Source organism: Homo sapiens, chromosome 22, assembly GCF_000001405.40.
Source record: "Homo sapiens chromosome 22, GRCh38.p14 Primary Assembly".
NCBI lineage: Eukaryota > Metazoa > Chordata > Mammalia > Primates > Hominidae > Homo > Homo sapiens.
In genome coordinates, this window is record NC_000022.11 from 43,586,061 (window position 1) to 43,604,721 (window position 18,661).

The window sequence follows — 18,661 nt, forward strand, 5'->3', positions numbered from 1 at the left end:
AAGAAAAGAAGGGTGTCGGAGAAGGAATAAATAACGGTAAAATAACATCTTTTTTTTCTCACTCTTAGTTGATCAATGGAGTAATAATAACAACCATGTGTTGGGTGATTAAAAGCACACGGGTAAATGAATGACAGCCATGTCATCAGGTACAGAAGGGAGAAATTGGAAATACCCTTTTATAAGTTTCCTGTACTTCCCATTAAGTTGTATTATGTTACTTAAAGGTGGGCTTAGGCTAGCTCTAAATGTATACTGTAAACTCTTGAGCAACAACTGATTTTTTTTTTTTTTTTTTTTTTTTTTGTGACGTGGTCTCGCTTTTTTTGTGAGGCTGGAGTACAGTGGTGCAATCATAGCTCATTGCAGCCTTGAATTCCTGGGCTCAAGGGATAAACAATGTTTTAAAGAGGAAAGGGGTGCTAATATTCTCCCCTTACAAAGTGAGGGACGTAAGAGTCATGCATTCTGTCAGCATGGCTCAATTATACAGACAGAAATAGGAGTCAGAGAAGGCAATTAGCTCAAGTTGTTTCAGGGTAAAAGTGTATGAGAATAAGACTTCCAGTTAAATAAAGTGGCTTGAACACACATATCTAGTTCTGTTACCACTCAAAACTCTTCTAAAATGACAGAAAAGGGAGTTTTAAAAAGGTTTAAAACAGTGGTTCTCAAGGTGGGGTGCAAAAGTCCAGCAGCGTCAGCATCACCTGAGCCCTCGTTATGAATGCACACTCCCGAGCCCACTGAATCAGAAACTTTGGGGGAGGGACCCAACAATCTTGAGTTTTAATGAGCCCTTGCAATGGTTCTGATGCTTGGAGTTTGGGGACCGCTGGCATAAACTCCGAAGGACTAGGAGTATGTGGAAGAAGAGAACAGCTGCTGGAGCATCTATGGATAATGGGAATAGATGTATCAGAATCCAAGAAATCACTTCCTAAAACAGAGGGAATGTGGAAGAGAGAAAATCTGATATGTCCTGCAAATACCCTCAGAGGCTCTGGAACTGATGATATCAGGTATATCTAGAAGTGGAGCTAAAGGAGGAGTTAAAATAGGGTTGATTAAAAGACTGGGAAGCAAGCAGACCCCAGACCTCTTGCCAGACTTCACGTGTCTGGGTGCCTGTCCCTCCCAACCCTAATGGAAGACCTGGAGGTATATTCTCCGGAGATGTTGTTTCTGAGCAGGAGGGCATCTGTCCTAGTCCAAGGTAGGGAGGGTTCTTAATGAAAAGGGGAGGATTAATAAAAAGTGTATACACTGACTTGTTAGTTTCCTATGGCTTTGTACCAAAATAGTACATACCTGGTGGCTTAAAGCAACACACATTGATTCTCTTACAGTTCTGGACACCGGAATCTAAAATGAGTTCCCTGTTGTTGGCAGGACTGTACTTTCCCTGGAGATTCTAGAAGATAATCTGTTATTTGCCTCTTTCAGCTTCTGGGAGCAGTTGGCAGTCCCTGGCTTGTGGCCACATCACTCTACTCTTTGCCTCCCTGGTCACATGGCCTTCTCTTTGTCTGTGTCAAATCTCCCTCTGCCTCCCTCTTATAAGGACACCTGTGATGGCATTGAAGGCCCATCCAGATAATCCAGGCTCATCTTCCCTTCTCCAGGTCCTTAGCTTAGTTGTGTGTATCTATAAAGATCCTTTTTCCAAATAAGGTAATGTCCACAGATTCCAGGAATCAGGAACTGTATATCTTTGGGAGGGATGATTCAGCTTACCACAGTGACTGGTGAAATATTCAGCCTTCTGTGACCAGTCAGTTCCTAGAGTGTTGACAACAGGAGACCAAAGAGTCTTCTCTCGTTGGGTTGCCCAATTAGCAAACAAATAAACAAATCAACATACCAAATCTACAGGGATACATAGTTGAATTAGAATTTCAGATAAACAACAAAATTTTTAGTATAACTCAAATATTACATGAGACATATTTAAAAATTATTGTCTATCTTAAGTCCTAATTTAACTGAGAATCTTGTATTTTGTTTGGCAAGTCTATTCTCTGGTAAATCTGAAAAGGCCAAACAAAAAGTTTTAAAGATACTGACATTGGGGGCCCCCAAGAAAACTTCAAGCCAGAGTACCATACATTTCAATCCAAAGTCAACAAGCTCCACCTATCTGTGTAGAACTTCTAATCTGCACCTCAGTGCCCCGTCCTCCACTCTTAGTATGGACATATTTTTGAAGAAAATATCCAACATGAGTAATAGTTTTAAAAAGCAACACTGAGGAGAGACTTATCTGGTAAAGAAAACTTTTTTTAAAAGCCTATTGTTAATACCTTCAGAGAAATGAGATAGCGCATCCATGAAACAAGAGTAGGATGTTATAAAAAAGGAACACACAGAGAACTAAAATGAGCTCTAGTAATTAGAAATATAAGTATGGTAGCAGAAACAAAAATCTCAAAGAAGGACTGGGAGCTAAAACTGAGGAAATCTCCCAGAAGGTAGAAAAAGAGAAAGAAGAAAAAAAGATTTAAAATATGTGAGAGAACAGTCCAGGCAGTTCAATATTCAATAACAACAGGAGTTTCAGAAAAAATAGAACAGGGGAGGAATTCATTAATAAAATAAGTCAAGAAACTTTCTAAGAATTTAGAACATGAAAAGGGCAATCTTCAAGAAGATGAAGCTGACAGATTAGCTGACGTGTCTCGATGGATTGGAAAGAGATTAAATTGGGGATTTAATTAGTAGGAGAATAAGTACATAGGAAACTAAATGAACAGAAGAAATAGGATAATTTGACTTCAGGGAAAAAGTGCTATGTAGAAAAGAAAAGTGATGAGCTAGTCACAGCAAATGTAGATCTAGAATGTGGAGCAAACCAAAACTGACGCAGCAATACGATAGGCATGTGGCATGCGGAGGTAAGTTTTCTTGTGTTTCCATGAGGTAACGGAGGCTGAGGGGGCTGAGATGGTTGGTGGCATGGGATGGGTGAAAAGAGTTAAACCCACATTTTCTTGGTAGTAAGTCAATAGAAACTGCCTAAAAGTGAAAAATCAAGAAGTAGCAATATATGCCTGTCACTTAGAAGTAGGGACATTGGCCGGGTGTGGTGGCTCATGCCTGTAATCCCAGTACTTTGGGAGGCCGAGGTGGGCAGATCACAAGGTCAGGAGATCGAGACCATCCTGGCTGACACGGTGTAACCCCGTGTTACCATCTGGGTAACAGAGGGAGACTTCATGTCAAAAAAAAAAAAAAAAAAAAAAAAAAAAAAAAAAAAAAAAAGAAGTACAGGTACATTCACTATCAAAAAACATCAGTCAACAGGATTGGAAGTTGTTGACTTTGGGTAGTGAAATAAGGGCTGCAGCAGGGCAAAAGGACTGCTGGTTTTAGTAACCAGCCTCGTAGAACTACGTGATTCCTGCCAAAGTGCTGGAATAACTTGGATAAAATAAAAATTAATGTTGGCTGGGCGCAGTGGCTCACGCCTATAATCCCAGCACTTTGGGAGACTGAGGTGGGCGGATCACCTGAGGTCAGGAGTTTGAGACCAGCCTGGCCAACGTGGTGAAACCCCGTCTCTACTAAAAATACAAAAATTGGCCAGGCGTGGTGGTGTACACCTGTAATCCCAGCTACTTGGGAGCCTGAGGCACGAGAATCACTTGAACCCAGGAGGCAGAGGTTGCAGTGAGCTGAGATCGCACCACTGCACTCCAGCCTGGGTGATAGAGCGAGACTCCATCTCAAAAAAACAAAACAACCAAGTAAACAAAAAAAACCCCACTGATGTTAAGAAATGGTGGCACTGCTGCTAAGACACATCAGGAAAAGTTATGCATTTGTCAGGGGGCTTTCTTTTATTGCTTTGGGTAGACTCAAACCCATTCTAATGTAACCCAGCAAACAGGAAGACATGGAGGGTATTTTCATCTCAGAAGGCTGTTTGGGCGGACATACAGAAGAAACAAAGGCAATTCTCCAGTATGTTTTTCAGGGCCATGAGAAACATATTTAACTGAGTCCAAAAAGACCTGTTTAGCAGATGGGTCAGCTCCCCTTCGGTAAGAGAACATCCACATTCTTCCAGCACTTCCTGCATCTTGCATATGGATATGTAGTTGGTTTTGGATTGATCAGTTTTGGTGAATGCTTTGCTGATATCTTGATGGCGGTCCATAAGCTTATCCCTGAAAGAGAGTACATTGCAGACATACCCTAAAATCAGGAAAACAAATAACTCCTTTAAAGCAAACACTGCATGATTATTCTAATGCAATGAGCTGATGGCTCATCTAAGAACTAATTTTGAAGATGTTTTACAGCCTCAGTGTAATACTGACATTAAAAGATATCCCAGAAATATTATGTCTGTATCATTATCATTTTCTTATTACCATCATTAGCAAAATTACAACATTAGAGAAATTACAACTTTGTCTTTGTACTAGAATCGGTACTTTAAAAACGGAACCAAGAATTGAAAAAGCCAGTGGTTTTACATATAGACATGTGAAATACACACTCATTCTCAATAAACACTAGTTGAGTACCTATGACATGCCAGATGCTCCTGTAGGTGTTGGGACATGTCTGGTGAATCAAAGAGGCATCCCTAGAAGGATTTCCATTCCAGTAGTGGGGAGACAGACAATAAACAGAAGACAGAGGTACAGCACGGTGGGACAGTAGGTTTGAAGGCCAAAAAAAAAAAAAAAAAAGACAGTAGGTTTGTAGGTTTGTAGGTTTACATGCACTTTGGCTATAGGCTCTTTTTCTTGAGCAAAGATGGATGCAAAAGAGTCAGCTGGGGACTGGAGAACAGCCAGTGCCAAGGCCCTAAGGAGGAGAAGAAGGGCAGTGAGCGAAGAGTGTGGAGAGGGACAGGGCCTTGTCGGTGCTGGGGCAAGGGAGTGCCAGAGACCCCATTTTGTTTTGTTTGTTTTTTTTTAACCAGGCACTTTTATTTTTAAGAAACAGCCATCATGTGGTGTGCATCAGTGGACAAATCAAGGGCCATGAAGTGCCAAAGACCCCCTGGGTTTGTTGTTGTTGTTGTTTTTTGTTTTTTGTTTTTTTTTTTTGTTTTTTTTTTGTTTTTTTTACCAGGCTTTTTATTGTTAAGAAACAGCCACTGACTGGGTGGGGTGGCTCACGCCCACAATCCCAACACTTCGGGAGGCTGCGGTGGGTAGATCACGAGGTCAGGAGTTCGAGACCAGCCTGGCCAACATGGTGAAACCCCGTCTCTCCTAAAAAACACAAAAATTAGCCAGGCATGGCGGTGGGCACCTGTAATCCCAGCTACTCGAGAGGCTGAGGCAGGAGAATCGCTTCAACCCGGGAGGCAGAGGTTGCAATGAGCGGAGATCATGCCACTGTACTCCAGCCTGAGCAACAGAGCAAGACTCTGTCTTATAAAAAAAAAAAAAAAAAGAAAAGAAAAAAGAAACAGCCACCACGTGGTGTTGAATCAATGGAAAAATCAAGGGCCGTGCTGCCATCTCAAGTACACACACTCACATGTGACCTCTCAGCCCTGCAAGGCGGTGTCATCAGCCCTACTTTCTATAACAGGAACAGGACAGCATGCAAGCCCAGGGCAGAATCAGGACAAGACTGGACCTTACACTCACAGTGAGGGAGACAGAGACAGCATCTTTCTGTCGCTCCCAGCTTCAGGGATGATTTTCTTGCAGAGATGTGTGATCTCAAGTCTCTGTGATTCAGAGACACTGAATTTTCAGTCTGGGAAATTTTGTCTCCTAACTCGAAAAAAATTACGGTTAAGGAACTCAAAAAGTGTAGAAATCTTTAAGAAGAAACAATCTTGCACTTGATCTATGGTGGACTGGCTGTAAATTCAATAATTTCAACTTACCCAGGTCCCTGAAAATGTCTTCCTTACAAACTGAGTAATATGCCTGTCTGATGGGCTCAGACTTGATCTTGGCTTTGGGGTTATTCCTCAGGGGAAATAATGTGCTATAAATCCTAGAAATGAAATCTTTGGTGGTAATTGTCTACCACTTGAGGTACGTATTTGTGGGAGAGGATGCCTAGAAAAAATAATCCATAGGAAAAGAAACGTCAGGACTCTGGGAGAGGTGAGATTCAGTGGGAATATTCAGGGTGGTGAAGGAGAGCGGTATTAACTTTGAAGCCACCAAGGTGATCAACTCCTTTGCCTTGCTGGCCTCCAGTTTGGAATTGGCTCCCATGACATTTGAGTACTTAATACAAATGAGCTGCAGGAACCGCTCTGTGCATGTATCCCAACAGCAGCATTTTGGATTCCCCTACAGGTGTACATTGAATTCAGTCCCATGTTGCAGAATGATTACTCGTCATCACAACTATTATATTCCACTTAATCCTTCAAAATGAAAGCAAATGAAGGTAGAAAAAAATCCAAACATTTTTTTGAGATACATATTTTTAGAAAATTGAAGCATTCAGCGTTTCTTGGACTGGTTTCTAGGCAGTAATTATTTCCCTTGCAGAGTAAATATGTGCACAGAGTAAATGAGGGTTTAGAGCACAGATCACAGCAGAGTGCCAAACAGAAACGGTGTCAGCCGACACTCCGTGACAAAGCTGCGCTGGGTCTATGTCCAGTTCCTGGTCTGGGCAACAAGACAGAGGCCAGAAGGGGGCACTGTTATGGCCAATGGACGGCCACAGAGCCCCTCACACACACGGCCTCCCCACTCTGGTGCTGCTGAAAAACTGCACACCTCTCAATTTGCGTTTTCGAACGAGCCCGTGTTATGTGGCTCATTTACTGTTGCTATTCTGATTCTGAGATTCTGAATCTTCAACTCAGACTCAAGCAAAAAGAGCAAGGCATGGAAAATAAATGCAAGAAGAAAAAAAGATTTTTCTTAATCTTTAAAATGTATTTAGGGCATTCCAAACAAAATGAATTCCCCTAGATTTAAGAGGCAGATACAAAATTGTGGTCACTTTAATGGAACATGACTCAAATCTGTCAATCTGATCAGAGTGTCAGTATAGAGGAGGAGGTAAAAAAAAAAAATCCTGAAAACATTGAATCTTCATTGGAAAGACCCACTGACAGCAAAATTTAAAAACAGGCCATCCTGAAGGACAAGGTTGTTTGGGAATTTTTACAAGCCGATATTTTTGAGGAAACAGAAATTGGTCATGCATTTGTCTTCTTTACTAAGAGAGCATGGGTGTGGCAAGGGGGAGTGGGTGAGAGTGAACTAGTTAACTGAGCTTGATGATCTGAAATGCATTGTGTCTTGCAGCTCGCAGTTCTTTTAGCTGCATGCCCATGCTCCGTGTGGAACAGAGGCACAGGCAGAGAAAGAGTGTACTGGGAGTTCCCAGGATGCACGGTTTCTCTCCTAGAGCCTCATTACTCACAAGTGGCAGGAAAGACGAGAAGAGAAGACACGAGTGGGTAATGAGGCCAACCCTGTCTAGTAAAGATAAATTCCACTTTTTCATTAGCTTTATGGCATATTTGATTTATACCAATCTTGCACATATTTTACTTCGAATTTCACAAACTCAATTCTCTGCTTTCAGGCTTCATAACTCAGTAACTTAGACGTAATTCAGGGGTGTGTTCGAACTGCTCTTCTCTGAAACCCTGTTGAGCTATTACACTTCATCCCTGTGTCCTTGGCATTCTCAGTTCCTTTGGAGATTCACTCATTCATTCAGGTGCTATAGGAGGTGGTGGGACAGAGAGTGAATCTTGCCTTTTGAAATGACAGACAGGAGACAGACTCACAAACAGGTAAGAGCAAGATGGAGCTAAGACAGAGCTATAGAGCAGTAGGTAAGAGCCACACGTATAAGGAGTGTGGATGGGAGACGAAGGATTGAGATCGTGCCAAGAAAATCTGTCTCATTGCTGTAGTCACATCATATGCAGCCCAATTTTTTTCTCTGTTATAAATGTTAAAAATATGACATGAGTGGCCAGGTGCAGTGCCTCACACCTGTAATCTCAGCACTTTGGGAGGCCGAGGTGGGCGGATCACCTGAGGTCGGGAGTTTGAGACCAGCCTGACCAAAAGGGAGAAACCCCGTCTCTGCTAAAAATACAAAATTAGCCAGGTGTGGTGGCGCATGCCTGTAATCCCAGCTACTCAGGAGGCTGAGGCAGGAGAATCGCTTGAACCTGGGAGGCAGAGGTTGCAGAGAGCTGAGATTGCACCATTGCACTCCAGCCTGGGCAACAAGAGTGAAACTCTGTTTCAAAAAAAAAAAAAAAAAAAAAAAGAAAAGACATGAGTAACTAGTTTTAAAATTTGAAGGTAGACAAAAAGTTGCTAGATGGATTAAAAAACAAGACCCAACTATATGCTGCCTATAAGAAACTCACTTCACCTATAAAGACACATATAGATTGAAAGTAAAGAAATTGAAAAAGATATTCAATGCAAATGGAAACCAATGAAGAGCAGGAGTAGCTATGCTTATATCAGATAAAATAGACTTTAAGTCAAAAACTAAAAAGACCTGAAGGTCATTATTAATATAAAAGAATCAACTCAGCAACAGGATATAACAATAGTAAACATATGTTCACCTAACACCAGAGCACCCAAATATGTAAAGCAAATGTTAATATATCTAAAAGGAGAGCTAGATTGCAATACAGTAATAGTAGCAGACAACACTCCACTTTCAGCAATGGGCAGATCATCCAGACAGGAAATCAACAAAGAAACATCAAGTTAAACTATGGTCTAGGTCTAATGGACCTAACAGACATTTACAGGACCTGTCATCCAATTGCTGCAGAATACAGATTCTTTTCATCAGCACATGGATCATTCTCCAGGATACATCATATGTGGCCACAAAACATATCTCAGCCAATTTGAAAAAGTCAACATCATATCAAGTATCTTTTCTAAAATGGAATAAAACTAGAAATCAATAAAAAGAGGAACTTTGGAAACTGTACAAATACGTAGAAATTAAACAACATGCTCCTGAATGACCACTCATCAATGAAGAAATTAAGAAGAAGATTAAAAATGTATTGAAGCAGATGAAAATGGAAATACAACATACCAAAAATCTATGGGATGCAGCAAAAGCAGTGCTAAGAGGGACATGTATAGCAATAAATGCCTACATTAAAAAAAAAAGAATGACTTTGCATAAACAATCTAACAATGCACCTCAAGAAACTAGAAGAGCAAGAAAAATCCAAACCTAAATTAGTAGAAAGGAAGAAATAAAATCAGAGCATAAATAAATAAAATTGAGACTAAAACAATACAAAAGATCAACAAAATTAAAAGTTGGTTTTTGAAAAGATAAACAAAATTGACAAACTTTTAGCTAGACTATGAAAAAAAGAAAGTCCAAATGAATTAAATCAGAGATAAAAAAGGAAGTATTACAACTTTGGAGATGACAGAAATAGAAAATATCATTAGAGACTGCTATGAAAAACTATATGCTGACAAATGGGAAAACCTAGAAGTGGGTAAATTCCTACCAAGATTGAACCATGAAAAAGTAGAAAATCTGAACACACCAACAATGAGTAACAACATCAAAGCAGTAATAAAAAGTTTCCCATCAAAGAAAAGCCTAGGACCTGATGGCTTCACTGCTAAAATCTACCAAACATTTAGAGAAGAACTAATACCAACTCTACCCAAACTTTTTCAAAAAAATTGAAGAGTAGGGAATACTTGCAAACTTATTCTATAAGGCCAGTAATATCCTGATACCCAAACCAGACAAGAACACTACCAAAAAGAAAACTACAGGCCAAAATTCCTGATGAACATACATGTAGAAATCCTCAACAAAATACTAGCAAACCAAATTCAACAACACATTAAAAGGACCATTCACCATGATCAAGTGGAATTCATCCCAGGGATGCAAGGATGGTTCAACATACACAAATTAATAAATGTGATACATCACATCAACAGAATAAAGGACAAAATTACATGATAATTTCAACAGATGCTGAAAAAGCATTTTATAAAATTCAACGTCCTTTCTTGATAAAAACTCTCCTCACAATGAATATAGAAGCAAAATACCTCAACACAATATAGGCCATATATGACAAACCCATAGCTAATATGATACTAACCAGGGAAAAGTTGAAAGTCTTTACACTAAGATCTGGAATAAGACAGGATGCCCACTTTTACCACTTCTATTCAACACAGTACTGGAAGTCATAACCTGAGCAATTAAGCAAGAGAAAGAAATAAAGCGCATCCAAATTGGAAAGGAAGAAGTCAAATGAGCCATGTTTGCAGATGACATGATTTTATATTTAAAAAAAACCTAAAGACTCCACCAAAAAAATTCCTAGCACTGATAAACAAATTCAGTAAAGTTTTAGGATACGAAATCAATACACAAAAATCAGTAGCATTTCTATATGTTAACAGTGATCAATCCAAAAAAGAAATAAATAAAGCAATCTCATTTACAATATCTACAAAGAATATAAAATACCTAAAAATCAGCTGAACCAAAGAAATGAAAGAGCTATACAAAGAAAACTATGAAACGCTGATGAAAGAAATTGAAAAGGACACAAACAAAAATGAAATGATATCCCTTGCTCATGGATTGAAAGAATTAATATTGTTAAAATGTCTATACTATCCAAAGTGATCTACTAATTCAAGCAATCCCTACAAAAATACCAAATGACATTCTTCACAGAAATAGAAAAAACAATCCTAAAACTCATATGGAACCACAAAAGACCCCAAATAGCTAAAGCAATCCTAAGCAAAAAGAACAAAGCTAGAGGCATCACGCTACCTGATTTCAAATTACACTACAAAGTTATATTTACTAAAATAGCATTGTACTGGCATAAAAGCAGACACAAAGACCAATGGAACAGAGTAGAGAACCCAGAAGTAAATCCATGCACTTACAGCAAATTCATTTTTGTCAAAGGCACTGAGAACACACACTGGGGAAAGAAAAGTCTCTTTAATAAATGGTGCTGGGAAAAATGAATAGCCACCTGCAGAGGAACTAAACTAGATCCCCATCTTTCAATACAGACAAAAATCAACTCAAAATGGATTAAAAACTTAAATGTAAGACCATAAACTATGAAACTACTAGAATAAAACATTGGGGAAATGCTACAGGACATTGGTCAGGGCAAATATTTTTTGGATAAGACCTCAAAAGCACAGGCAACAAAAGGAAAAACAAACAAATGGGATTACATCAAGCTGAAAAGCTACTGCACCATGAAGGGAACAAAGTGAAGAGACAGCCTACTGAGTGGGAGAAGATATTTACAAACTCCCCATCTGACAAGGGATTAATAACCAGAATATATGAGGAACTCTAACAACCCAACAGCATGAAAAGAAATAACCTGATTCAAAAATGGCCAAAAGACCTGAATAGACATTTCTCAAAAGAGGACATATAAAGTGGCCAAGAGGTATGTGAAAAATGCTCAAGGTCACTGATCATCAGGGAAACGCAAGTTAAAACCACAATGAGATATCATCTCATCCCAGTTAGAATAGCCATCATCAAAAAGACAAAATATAAATGCTGGTGAAGGTGCAGAGAAGGTGGAACACTCATCCACTGTTGGTGGTAATGTACAGTACTGTGAAACACAGTACGGCAATTTCCCAGAAAACTAAACACACAACCACCGTATGATCCAGAAATTCTATGATACTGCTGGGTATATATTCAAAAGAAAGGAAATCAGTATATCTGCATTTCCATGTTTATTGCAGCACTGCTCACAATAGCCAAGATATGAAATCAACCCAAGTGTCCATCAACAGATTAATAAAGAAAATGTGGCACACATACACAATGGAACATTATTTAGCCATAAAAAAGAAGAAAATCGTCATTCACAGCAAGATGGACAGAACTAGACATCATTATATGAAGAGAAATAAGCCAGGCACAGAAAGACAAATATCACACGTTCTCATTCATATGTGGGAGTTTAAAAAGTTGATCTCAGCTGGGCGCAGTGGCTCACGCCTGTAAGACCAGCCCTTTAGGAGGCTGAGGCAGGTGGGTGAGCTCAGGAGTTTGAGACCAGCCTGGGCAACATGGTGAAGCCCCATCTCTACTAAAAATACAAAAATTAGCTAGGTGTGGTGGTGTGTACCGGTAGTCCCAGCTACTCAGGAGGCTGAGGTGGGAGGATCACCTGAGCCTGGAAAGTTGAGGCTGCAGTGAGCCGTGATGGAGCCACTGCACTCCAGCCTGGGTGATGAAAGTGAGACACTGTCTCCGGGAAAAAAAAAAAAAAAAAAAAAAAAAAAGGTTGATCTCAGACAGATAAAGAGTAAATTACCAGAGGCTAATTTACCAGAGGTTATCAGAGGCTGGGAAGGGAAGGGTCGGGAGGGGGAAGATAAGAGAAGTTGGATAAGGGGTACAAAAATGCAATTTAATAGAAGGAATAAATTTTAGTATTTGATAGTACAGTAGGGAAATTATACTTAACAATTTTATTGTTACATACAATTTTATAACAATAAAATGTTATATTGAAGTACACAATAATTTTATTGTATATTTCAAAGTAGCTAGATTTAATTGTATATTTAAAAATATCTAAAAGAGTATAATTGGATTGTTTGTAGCACAAAGGATAAATGCTTGAGGTGATGGATTTCCCATTTACCCTGAAGTGATTATTACACATTGCATGCCTGTATCAAAATATCTCATGTAACCATAAATATATGCTCCTACTATGTACCCACACATTTTTTAAAAAATATAGCTAGAAGAGAAGATTTGTAGAATTTGTAGAAAGATAAATGTTTGAGATGATGGATATACCGATTACCCTGATTTGATCATTACACATTGTATACAAGTATCAAAATATCATACATACCCTCCAAATATGTACAACTATTAAATATCAGTTTTAAAAATGGAAAGGAATCATGTACGCTCCCACCATCCAAATCCAGTGGGGTACCTTCTGCACAGCATCTTCTGGTCCCAGGCACCTGCTCCTACATTTGATATTGTTCCACTCATGGTACACATACTGCCCAAAACGTAATGGCCTGTTAGCCCTTTACACAAACATTTCCGTGTCCTTCCACAGTGGCCGCAGCAGGCATGGGCAATTTCATGCTCTTTCAGGCTACTCTTTGCTAAGCCAGTGCACTAATTTGGGACTGGAGGGTATTCCCTTTGTTGTCGTTGTGCTGTTATAGACACACTGCACTTTGGGAGGCTGAGGCAGGTGGATCGCTTGAGGTCAGGAGTTCAAGACCAGCCTGGCCAACATGGTGAAACCTCACCTCTACTAAAAATACAAAAATTAGCTGGTCGTGGTGGCGTGTGCCTGTAATCCCAGCTACTCAGGAGCCTGAATCAGGAGAATCGCTTGAACCCGGGAGGTGGAGGTTGCAGTGAGCTCAGACAGCGCCATTGCACTCCAGCCTGGGAGACAGAGTGAGATTCCATCTCAAAAAAAAAAAAAAAAAAAAAAAAAAAAAAAAAAAAAAAAGACACACTGCAGGTCACACCTTCCCGTTGCTCAGCTGTTGGCTTATTCTGAATTATTTCTTCGGGATCAAGTCCTGAAAGTAGAAGTGTGAGTTAAAGGATATGTCTGGTTCTTTCCTTTATTCATTCAACAGATATTACTGGGTGTGGGTGTCTGTTCGGTGCTAGACACCAGGTAAAGTGACAGACATCCCTATTGAGCCTGCATTCTATTTGGGCCAAGGGCGTGGCCAGGCGGTATGCCATCCACAACTAAATTTAAAGGATCATTTTCAAGGGTGACCCATAAAATATGATGAATGATATAAGATTGTGACTGGGTAAGATGGAATGGGCTATAGCTTTTCAATTACTCTTTGACTTCGCACCAATTTCTAGAATCGACAACTGTGAACAAGCACGATCATTTCCCTGTAACTTTGCCAGCATGGGAAGGTACCATTTTAAAATAACTTGTGCTGTGAGGCCAGATGTAAAAGGGGACTTCTAGATGATGGCCCCGTGATCCTTCCTCACTCACCTGGCTGCCACAGCCTTCTCTGTGCTCTGCTGCAGCTCCTTCATCTCTTCCTGTAGCTGCTGTGGCTTTGTAAAATGACCCATGAAGTTGAAATAATCCTCTGCACAGGGCCGATGGACAGCAGGCGAATAGTTAATACCCAATTTCTGTAAAAATTCCTGGTAAGTAATGTGCCCTTTTCCCTCGGTGTCGTATCTTAAAACAAAAACAAAAACAGAAAGCACTTCTCAGTAGCCAGTAAGGTGTGCTGATGCTCAGGGTTTGGAAAATGCCTGCACCATCCATGAGGAGCTCGTCTTCCATCCCTCACCACTCGGAGCATGCCCTGTGGGCCAGCGGAATCAGCCCCGCCTGGCAGAGCTGGAAATGCGTGAGTTCAGGCCTCACTCCTGATCCGATCCGCATCCTCATGTTAACAAGGACCCCAGGTGACTCACAGGCACATCAGCATTCAGGATGGTCACGCCACACATGGCCTGCCAGGAGAGAGAGCAACCCAAGCCACTCACCTGTCATTCTATTAGAAACACAGTTGTGACTACAGAAAATTAAAGTCAACCCCTCCATACGTTTAGCAGGGTTTTTTTTTTGTTTTTTGTTTTGTTTTGTTTTTGAGGCAGAGTCTCACTCTGTGGCCCAGGCTGGAGTACAGTGGTGCGAGCTGGGCTCACTACAACCTCTGTCTCCAAGGCTCAAGTGATTCTCCTGCCTCAGCCTCCCGAGTAGCTGGGATTACAGCGCCGGCCACCATGCCCGGCTAATGTTTCTATTTTTAGTAGAGACGGGGTTTCAACATGTTGGCCAAGCTGGTCTCAAACTCCTGACCTCAGGTGATCCGCCGGCTTCGGCCTCCCAAAGTACTGGGATTACAGGCGTGAGCTGCCACACCTCGCCCGTTCGGCAGTTTTTTAAAATTGAATACTTACCTGTGAAAGGAATTATGCTAAGGTTTAGAAAAAAATTCTTCAAAAAGCATATTCAATCTTAAAACTCGAATGAGTGAATGTCACTTGATTCAAAGATGGTAAAATTTCCCATTTCCTCTTTGAAGAGATGCCAATTACATACAGCCAATGAGAGAGGCCAGTGAGGAAAACAAGATAAGAATTATGCTATGTACCTTTTATGTCATTTTCTATTATTGAGATTTTTCTGAATTAGAACTCATTAAAAAAGGCATAATGGAGGGTTTTTATCTCCCAACGTTATTCAAATAGAATAGAATTACTTCAATAAAAATTTTAAGGCAAATTGCCAATTTTCTTTAAAGAAAGAAAGCATTTATTTTTACAGAAAGATCTTGGTCCTCATCTAATCGATAAAAATGGCATTCGCAGATGTGATTTTCCCCAGATGAACTCAGAGTTACAAGGAATGAGACTATATTTAAACAATGTTGCCAGCATAATTCTCCCATCAGGATGTTGCTTGGGCATTTGTCTGATGGAGTAGAAGTACAATCAGTTTTCCTTTGAGAGGTACAGCTCCCTTTTGCTCTGCTCGTTAACTGATGAGATCCTGGAGGATCTACGGAACCCACAGTTGCCTGTGACACACTAAGCCCTGTACGACTGTTTGAGCTGGGTGAACAATAAAGAAAATGTTCTTATTGACCACGTTCTTGTCCTCAAGGGGAAGGGGTGGCAGGTAGGAGAGAAAGCAGATAGACGTTTGGGTAAATGTTGCTTCACGCACTTGTGCTAAAACTTGCAGAGGCTCTCAGGAGTTGGAGGACCACCACCCTTCCCAAAGGCCATGTGGGCCTGTCCCCACAGGTGCCCCTGAGGGCTCTCTCCATGCTCCCTTGCCTTCTGTGCCCTGCAGGTCCCCACTCCTCTGCCATGTGTCTGCCACCCACCTGCTGCCTCAACACAGCATTCGCCCCATTCTCCACATGGACTCCACCTGACAAGGTAAGAAAAGTCCCCTTGGACGACGTCCTCCGCTACTTTGCAGGCAGGGTGCAGATAGAGGGCTCTAGGTAAATACCAGTTTGCCGGCTCTTCACCTGGCAAGGCCCTTTCCTGCTCCACGGATCAGTCCCTCAGCTGGGAGCCGTCCCGGGCAGTCCTAGACATGAGGTCTCAGGACAGTGCCCCGCCCAGCTCCTGCTGAGACCATCAGCTCCTTATCCCCTGCAGACCTTTTCAGGTGTCTATTATGAGGATGGCCTTAATTTTGCAACCCAGAAAAGTACACTTCCACCTTTATTCAGTGAATTTTGTTCTTAAAACCCAACAAGACAACACAGCCTCAGAAAGAGGCCTGTGGGCTCTGCAGTTCCCGAGGCTTCTCTTTGGCTGTTGAAGAGCTGTGGTCTCAGCAGCACCATCAGGGGCAAGCGCCTCCAGCAAGGGCTTCCCTGTTGCTGGTAATGCTAAGATGGCTGCAGGGAGGAAGTTGAATTTCACATGGACATACCTAGGAGGCGGAAGGGCTGACATTTCTTGAGCTTCTAGGGTGATCCCAGGGCCATGCCTCTCTCCTTGAACTACATCAGGACTCTAACTAGCCTTGTGGCACCAGGACAATGTAATAATGCAACTCTGGTCAAGACGCCCTCTGAATAAAGCTCCCAGGGGTTCCTCATTCTGACAGGAGGGTTCCTAACAGAATGGTCCACAGCCCACCCACCCACCTGACAAGCAGCCCCCAGGGAGCAGTGCACCTCTTTTGGAAACCTCTCTCTCCTCCTAAGTCAAAAGAACCACAACCGTGCCTTCCTTTGAGCTCCTCAAGGCGCGGTGAGGACCCGACGGGTTAGTGCATTTGCGGATACATGAGGAGTGCATGTTGGCATTTGCTACTGCTCTATGCCACCCAAAGTTTTTCCCACATGCTGCCTCCATCCAGTTCCTAGGTCCATGTCTTATCTGCCTACTAGATGGCAGGTTTCTTGAGGAGAAACTATGGTTTAATCATTTTTACAAATTCACAGCATTCAGCAACACACTTTGCATGAGCTACGTTATCCATTCATGGCTGTTGGGCTAAGAAAAGTGAAGGGAGTGCATTTCTAAGGAAGGACTGCCCTCCTGGTGTGCTGTGCTCAAGGGCTCACTAACAACAAACTTTCCATCATGACACTTGAACTGAATGAAAAGGCATTCTTAATTGCTTCATTAATGAAGATCGTAAACATTCTATTCTCATCCAAAGGAACAGAAGACTAGATTGCACAACTGCAACTAAAATATTGTTGTGAATGTGATTAATAAGAGAGCTAATTCAGCTTACATAACCTCACCCTTCATTGTATAACCCTTTGTGTAACATTTTAAAACACCAACTTGCCTATAAAGGTTGAATTTTCAAATGGTTCAGCAATAGATGTGCCAGGAAAAAGTGTGCACAGAAACAGAGGACCCGTAAAAACTCACATTCGTGGATGGTGACGGCCACTAATTTATGACACAATCAGATTACTCTACCCATTTATTGTGCACACAGCAATTCAGCTATACACATAATTTGAGTATGTTCACATTGATTGGTTTGCTTTGCTAAGAATGTCTTAGTCCTTTCCGCTCAGTTTAGGCACTTAATTCCCACATACATTTCAGAAGTATCTTCAAATGCCACTGTCCCTAGAGTTACAGGGCAGAATGAGGAGGTGTGGTATAAGCCCTGCTGATGGCCTAGGCCAGGCAGCAGAGGCAGACACAGCACCTCATGCAGCTGGGGACACAAGGAATTCTCTCAGGTACCATCTTGGAGGGAGGTCTAATGACTCAAATAGCTGCTCTTTAGAAATGAAAGTGTCTGATATGGTTTGGATTTGTGTCCCCACCCAAATCTCATGTCAAATTGTAATCCCCAGTGTTGGAGATGGGGCCTAGTGGGAGGTGACTGGATCCTTCATGAGTGGTTTAGCATGATCCTCATTGTGCTGTTCTCGTGATATTGAGTTCTCATGAGATCTGAAGGTTTGAAAGTGTGTGGCACCCCCCACCACCTTCATCCTGCTCTGGCCACAAGAAGCGCTGGCTCCCTTTTTTTTTCCTTCCACCATGATTGTAAGTTTCCTGAGGCCTTCCCAGAAGCTGAGCAGATGCCAGCATCACACTTCCTGTACAGCCTGTGGAACCGTGAGCCAATTAAACCTCTTTTCTTTATACGTTACCCAGTCTCAGGTATTTCTTTATAGCAGCACGAGAATAGACTAATATAGTGTCCAATTGCTGGAGCTGAACATGCTCAAAGGGCATATTCAGTATGTTCTGATGAAATCACAGAAGATCAGACACCATCTGCTCCAGTACCCATCAAGAGCCAAATTCCACCCATTACTCTCCCCAGTAAAAAGGGGGCTAGCCTTAGGTAAAGCCATGCCAGACATGAGAACCACACTTCCTTCATGTTGAGCTTAGAGTCTACCTGGCTAGCACATCTCCAAGTCCAACTTCTTTGTATTCAGTGCTTCTAAAAGTCACCCTCTGACATCGCATCCCACTGAATCTTCCCATTTCTAAGCTAATGATCTTGTTCACTCAACCTTTTAAAACCCTTTCCCATCTTGAGGCTCCCTGTCCAGAGGTTCCACCAGCCAGGCACCGAGTAGGTTCTCTCTGGGCACTGCTTTGGTTGAGCTAATAGAAATGGCCTCACTTCTTGTGAACTGAAAACCATGGGTTTTTTTTTTGTCCACACGAG

The 18,661-nt window shown here is 41.5% G+C and overlaps 1 protein-coding gene across 20 annotated transcripts in view; it reads right to left on the reverse strand.

Annotated features, from left to right (window-relative positions):
- The window catches only part of EFCAB6 (EF-hand calcium binding domain 6), a 283,528-nt gene that overhangs the window by 57,283 nt on the left and 207,584 nt on the right, over positions 1-18,661 (reverse strand). For 19 of the 20 annotated variants that reach the window (XR_007067980.1, XM_047441462.1, XM_011530319.4 and 16 more), the window contains 2 exons: positions 14,009-14,203; positions 4,014-4,169 (listed from right to left, as the gene is read on the reverse strand). Coding sequence is in view for 19 of the 20 variants with exons in the window: in XM_047441462.1 (XP_047297418.1) it covers positions 4,014-4,169; positions 14,009-14,203 (351 nt within the window). In the remaining variant the exon portion in view is untranslated. Of the gene's footprint in view, positions 1-4,013; positions 4,170-13,502; positions 13,563-14,008; positions 14,204-18,661 lie in introns of those variants that run through there. The other variant, XM_011530328.4, reaches the window with a different exon arrangement.